The following is a 7,024-nucleotide window of genomic DNA, read 5'->3' on the forward strand; positions in this document are numbered from 1 at the left end:
AAACCACAGTGAGATACCATCTCACTCCAGTCAGAATGGCTATTATAAAAGGTCAAAAAATAACAGATGTTGGCGAAGATGCAGAGAAAATGGAATGCTTACATACTGTTACTGGGAATGTAAATTAGTTCAACCCCTATGGAAAACAGTATGTAGATTTCTCAAAGACCTAAAACAGAACTACTATTCAATCCTGCAATCCCACTATTAGGTATCTATGCAAAGGAAAGTAAATTATATAAAGAAGACACCTGCACCGATACGTTTATCACATCATTATTCATAATAGCAAAATCATAAAATCAACCTAAGAGTTCATCAACAGATAATTGGATAAAGGAAACGTGGCACGTGTATATACACACACCCAGACATATATATACACACACACACACACACATAACTTCACATACACATGCATGACTTCACGTTATTATTGGATCAACATCTGTCACTCTCTGCCTCCTCTGCCAATTAAAATTCCACGTTACATCCAACCAACACTTTGACTTTGAAGCCGCCACCTGATATTAGCGCTTCGCAGATGTAGTATGACTATTTTTATACATCTCTGTCTACTGATGAGGGTCCTACTCTTTTAGTATAAACAGTACCATTGACTTCCAATCAATTAGTTTCAATAGTATCCAAAAGAGAGTAATTAACCTGACACTAGCCCTAGTAACTGACCCCCTACTGGCCCTATTACTAATAATAGTTACATTTTGGCTCCCACAACTTAATACTTATATAGAAAAATCAAGCACCTATGAATGCGGATTTGACTCAATAACCTCTGCCCTCCTCCTCTTCCTCATAAAATTATTCCTAGTAGCCATGATATTTCTCCTCTTCGACTTAGAAATCACTCTGCTACTACCCTTGCCATGAGCCCTTCAAACAAACAACCTGACACAATAATCAGCACAGCCCTTATTGCTAGTTCCCGTTTTAATCCTAGGCTTGACTTATGAATGAACCCTAAAAGGGTCAGATTGAATTGAATTGGTAGTTTAAGTCAAAATAAATAAATGATTTTGACTCATTAGATTATGATAGACCATATTTACCAAGTGCCTTCTATTTACATCAATATTATATTAGCATACACCATGTCACTGCTGGGAATATTAGTCTATCGATGCCACCTAATATAATCCCTATTATGCCTAGAAGGCATAATACTATCATAAATTTATAAATAAATGTATAAATATTATTTATCATACTCATAACTTTAAACTTACATTTCACTCTAGCATCTATAATACCCATCATTCTCCTAGTATTTGCTGCCTGTGAAGCCGTAGTGGGCCTTGCCTTACTAGTTTCAATCTCCAATACATATGCTCTAGATTACATACAAAATCTAAATTTACTTCAATGTTAAAAATCATTACTCCGACAAGTATACTGTTACCAATGACATCATTCTCTAAAGATTCTATAATCTGAATCAACATGACTTCCCACAACCTACTCATCAGTCTTATTACCCTACTATTTTTTATGCAATTCAACAATAGCTCATCAGACTTCTCATTAATCTTCTCTTCTGACCCGGTGACCTCGCCCCTTCTAATCTTAACAACCTGACTACTACCTCTTATAATCCTAGCAAGCCAATATCACCTGTCCATTGAATTACCCCCACGAAAAAAAACTCTATATTTCTATATTGATTTCCATGCAGATTTTTAAAATTATAGCATCCACAGCCACAGAACTAATTATATTTTATATCCTCTTTGAAGCTAAACTAATTCCTCCCCTAATTATCATCAGCTGCTGAGGTAACCGACCAGAAAGCCTCAATGCCAGCTCCTATTTCTTATTTTGTACACTAGTAGTGTCCCTTCCTCTACTTATTACACTTGTTTATACTCAAAATACCTCAGGTTCACTAAATATGCTGGTAATGATTCTTACCACCCAAGAGCTATTGGTCTCCTAATCCAATAACCTTATATGATTAGCATGTATTATTGCCTTTATCATAAAAACACCTCTATATGGACTTCACTTATGACTCCCCAAAGCCCAGATAGAAGCTCCTATTGCCGGCTCAGTAGTACTTGCAGCAGTACTCCTAAAACTAGGAGGCTGCAGTATAATATAGCTTACCCTTATCCTCAGCCCCCTAACAGAACATATAGCCTACCCCTTCTTCATACTATTCCTATGAGGGATAGTTATAACAAGCTCTACTTGTCTGCGACAAGCCAATCTAAAATCACTTATTGCTTATGCCTGCGTTAGCCACATAGCACTTGTTATCATGGCTGTCCTCATTCAAACCCCTTGAAGCTTTACAGGTGCAGTCACCCTTATAATTTCTCACAGACTCACTTCATCCTTACCGTTCTGCCTAGCAAATTCAAACTACAAATGAGTCCATAGCCGAATCATATTACTTACCCGAGTCCTTCAAACACTGCTTCCACTAATGGCCTCTTGATGACTCCTAGCAAATCTCACTAACCTTGCCTTACCATTAATCTAGTAGGAGAAATCTTTGTGACTATGGCTTCATTCTCCTGACCAAACATCACTTTTATGCTTATAGGACTTAATATACTAATTACAGCCCTTTACTTCCTATGTATGCTAATCACAACACAATAAGGGACACTTGCATATTATATTAACTATATTAAGCCTTCCTTTACACAAGAAAATACATTAATACTTATACATCTTGGACCTATCTTCCTATTATCCTTAAGGTCTAAAATTATTACGGAGTTTGCATGCTGTAGGTATCGTTTAACCAAAACATTAAATTGTGAACCTAATAATAGAAGCCTGCAGCTTCTTATCTACCAAGAAATTATGCAAGAACTGCTAACTCACGCCCCCATGCCTAACAACATGGCTTTCTCAACTTTTAAAGAATTAGAGGTATCCATTGGTCTTAGGAAGCAAAAACATTGGTGTAACTCCAAATAAAAGTAACAAACGTGTATTTTTCCACTTCCATAATAGCCCTGATCCCCTTAATCTTACCGATTATTACTATCTTAACCAACCTCTACAAAAAAGGTTCGTACCCAAATTATGTGAAAATTATCTATCGCATGCACATTCATCATTAGCCTCATCCCTACAACAATCTTTATATGTACAGGCCAATAAGTCATCTCAAACTGACACTGAATGACAATCCAAACTCTTAAACTCTCACTAAGCTTCAAACTACACTACTTCTCCACAATGTTTATCCCAGTAGCAGTATTTGTTACCTGATCTATTGTAGAATTCTGAATATGATACATAAACTCAGACCCTAACATTAATCAATTTTTCAAATACTTACTTTCCTCATCACAATACAAATTCTGGTAACTGGCAACAACCTCTTTCAACTCTTTATCAGATGAGAAGGTGTAGGAATTATGTCTTGCTTACTAATTGGCTGATGATACGGCCGAGCAGATGCTAATACAGCAGCCCTCCAAGCAATTCTGTACAACCGCATCGGTGACATTGACTTTATTTTAGCGATAGCGTGATTCCTCTTATCCTCCAACACATGAGAGCTTCAACAAGCATATATTCTAAGCCTTACCCCCCACGCCCTTCCATTAATTAGTCTTCTCTTAGCAGCAGCAGGAAAGTCAGCTCAGTTCAGCCTCCATCCCTGATTTCCATCAGCCATAGAAGGCCCAGCCCCAGTCTCAGCCCTACTGCACTCCAGCACTATAGTTGTAGCAGTTTTCCTGTTCATCTGCTTCTACCCTTTATAGAAAATAATCTATCAATTCAAACGTTTACATTATGTCTAGGGGCTGTTACCACCTCATTTACAGCAATCTGTGCTCTAATACAAAATGATATCAAAAAAAAATCATAGCATTCTCCACCTCAAGCCAGCTGGGCCTCATAATAGTCACAATTGGCAAGAATCGGCCACATCTAGCATTCCTTCACATCTGTACCCATGCCTTTTTTAAAGCTATATAATTTATATGTTCAGGGTCCATCATCCATAATCTCAATGATGAACAAGATACCTGAAAAATAGGAAGGCTATTCAAGACTTTACCCTGCACTTCCTCCTCATTATTGGCAGCCTTGCACTTACAGGTATGCCTTTCCTTACAGGCTTTTAATCGAAAGACCTTATTATTGAAACCACAAACACGTCATACACCAATGCCTGATCCTCTTCTATTACTCTTGTTGCCACCTCCTTAACAGCTGTCTATAGGGCCCGTATTATTTTCTTTGCTCTAATAGGACAACCCCACTTCACAACTCTGATTATTATTAATGAAAACAATCCCTTCCTGATTAACTCAAGTGCCTAACAATCGGCAGTATCTTCTCCAGATTCCTCATCGCCAACAGTATTATTCCTGCTTCATCCCCCGAAACAACTATACCGCTCCACCTAAAGCTTACAGCCCTAGATGTGACCACCTTAGGCCTCTTACTAGCCATAGAGCTTAATCTCATAACTAATAACCTTAAACTAAAGTACCCATTACAGACATTCAACTTCTCCAATATACTAGGTTTCTATTTAGCCACAATACACCATGGAACCCCTTACTCAAGCCCATTCACAAGCCAAAATCTGGCTTCACTTCTACTAGACCTAATTCGACTAGAAAAGTCTATACCAAAGACCATTTCACAAACTCAAGTCTCAGCCTCCATTACCACTATATCTACTCAAAAAGGCCTAATTAAACTCTACTTTCTTTTTTATTCCATCCTTTCTAACCCTACTCTTAATTATCTAATCTATTACCCCGAGTAATTTCAATTGCAAGATAAATACTCACAAATAATGATCAACCAGCAACTACCACTAATCAAAACCCAGAACTGTACAAGGCAGCCACACTCACAGAATCCTCACACAACAACCCTGCCCCCTCACCCTCAAAAATTATTCAACTGTCTACGCTATTTAAATCAATCGCGACCACCACCCCATTGTACTCAACTATTCACCCAACCAACACCACTCTATTAATAATCCTAATTAGTAAAGCCTCTCAAATGTCAATACTTGACCGCCATGGCTCAAGGTACTCCTCAATAGCCATCACCGCGGTATAACCAAAGACAACCATCATACCACCCAAATAAATTAAAAAGACCATTAACCCCACAAAAGCCCCACCAAAATTCAACACAATACCACAACACAGCACCACTAATAATTAGCCCTAAACCCCCATAAATAGGAGAAGGTTTCAAAGAAAAATCTACAAATCCCATAATCAAAAGAACACTTAATAAAAATAAAGCATATGCCATTATTCCCACATGGACTATAACCATGACTAATGACATGAAAAATTATCATTGTACTTCAACTATAAGAACACTAATAACCAACACCCGCAAAACACACCCACTAATAAAAAATATTAACTACTCATTCATTGATCTTCCCATACTATCTAACATTTCTACATGATGAGACTTTGGCTCACTTCTTGGTGGCTGCCTTATTCTCCAGATCATCACAAGGTTATTTTTAGCCATTCACTATACATTAGACACCTCAACTGCCTTCTCTTCAGTTGCTCACATCAGCCGAGATGTAAACTATGGCTGAACAGTACACTATTTTCATGCTAACAGTGCTTCAATATTTTTCATGTGCTTCTTCTTACACGTTGTCTGAGGCTTATACTATGAGTCAATTATATAACTAGAAACCGTAAATATTGACATTAGCCTCCTCCTCACAACTATAGTAACAGCATTCATAGCCTATGTGCTCCGGTGAGGCCAAATATCATTCTGAGGTGCTACAGTAATTATAAACCTATCCTCAGCCATCCCATATATTGGAACTGACCTCGTACAATGAATCTGAGGCAGATTCTCAGTTGACAAAGGCACCCTCACGTGACTTTTCTCCTTCCATTTCATCTTACCCTTCATCATTACTGCTCTAGCAACTGTTCACTTTTTATTCTCACATGAAACAGGGTCTAACGACACTTCAGGGGTTTCATCAGACTCTGACAAAATCACTTTCCACCCCTACCATACAACCAAAGATATTCTAGGTTTAATTGTTCTCCTCCTCCTTCTAATAACTCTAGTACTATCTTTGCCTGAACTCCTGAGTGACCCAGATAATTATACTTTGGCCAACCCTCTCAATATCCAACCCCACATTAAGCCAGGGTGATACTTTTTGTTTGCATATGCAATCTTACATTGTATATATATATAGCTTATAATATAAAATATTATATAATAATATATAGCTTTGCCATTGTTGCTATATATATATATAAAAATATATAATATATCCTGAAATACTACTCAGCCACAAAAAAGAAAAAAATCATGTCTTTTTTAGCAACATAGATGAAACTGGAGGCCATTATCCTAAGTGAAATAACTCAGAAACAGAAAGTCTAATACTGCATGTTGTCACTTGTAAGTGGGAGTTAAACAATGTATACACATAAACATACAGAGTGGAATAATAGACACTGAAGACTACAAAAGCTTGGGGGTGGAAGGGGGTAAGGGATGAGAAATTACCTATTGGGTACAATGTACACTATTTAGGTGATGGGCACACTAAAAGCCCAAACATCACCACTATGCAATATATCCGTGTAACAAAAATGCACTTGTACCCCTTAAATCCATAAAGATAAAAATAAAATTTAAACTGTACAGTATAGTAAATACATAAACCAACAGCATCATCAATTATTATCACTGTCATAGTCAAGTATTATGTACTATACATATTTGGATGTGCTATATTTTCCTATGAATGGCAGTGCAGTAGGTCTGTTTATATACTGGCATCACTACAAACACATGAAAAAAATAGCATTAGAATACAGAGAAGACATATTTTTAGGCTGTTGTTTTTTTTTTTCCTTCTGTAAAATAAAACTACCTCCTCCTACCTGTTTCTGCTTCCAAGAAGCTTAAGTGAACATGATTTCCAAACTGTCTTTATGATGACAATAGGGTTCTACTTTATTTCAAACATTTTTCTGGTTGGAATTAACTAGTATATTACCTCCTT

At 37.1% G+C, this 7,024-nt stretch overlaps 6 pseudogenes; 5 read left to right on the top strand and 1 right to left on the bottom strand.

The window, feature by feature from the left end:
• Positions 425–591, top strand: MTCO3P25 (MT-CO3 pseudogene 25; annotated as a pseudogene).
• On the top strand, positions 674–999 carry MTND3P11 (MT-ND3 pseudogene 11; annotated as a pseudogene).
• Positions 1,385–2,751, top strand: MTND4P36 (MT-ND4 pseudogene 36; annotated as a pseudogene).
• On the top strand, positions 2,986–4,742 carry MTND5P38 (MT-ND5 pseudogene 38; annotated as a pseudogene).
• On the bottom strand, positions 4,758–5,273 carry MTND6P25 (MT-ND6 pseudogene 25; annotated as a pseudogene).
• On the top strand, positions 5,346–6,196 carry MTCYBP25 (MT-CYB pseudogene 25; annotated as a pseudogene).

Source organism: Homo sapiens, chromosome 11 (assembly GCF_000001405.40).
Source record: "Homo sapiens chromosome 11, GRCh38.p14 Primary Assembly".
Lineage (NCBI taxonomy): Eukaryota > Metazoa > Chordata > Mammalia > Primates > Hominidae > Homo > Homo sapiens.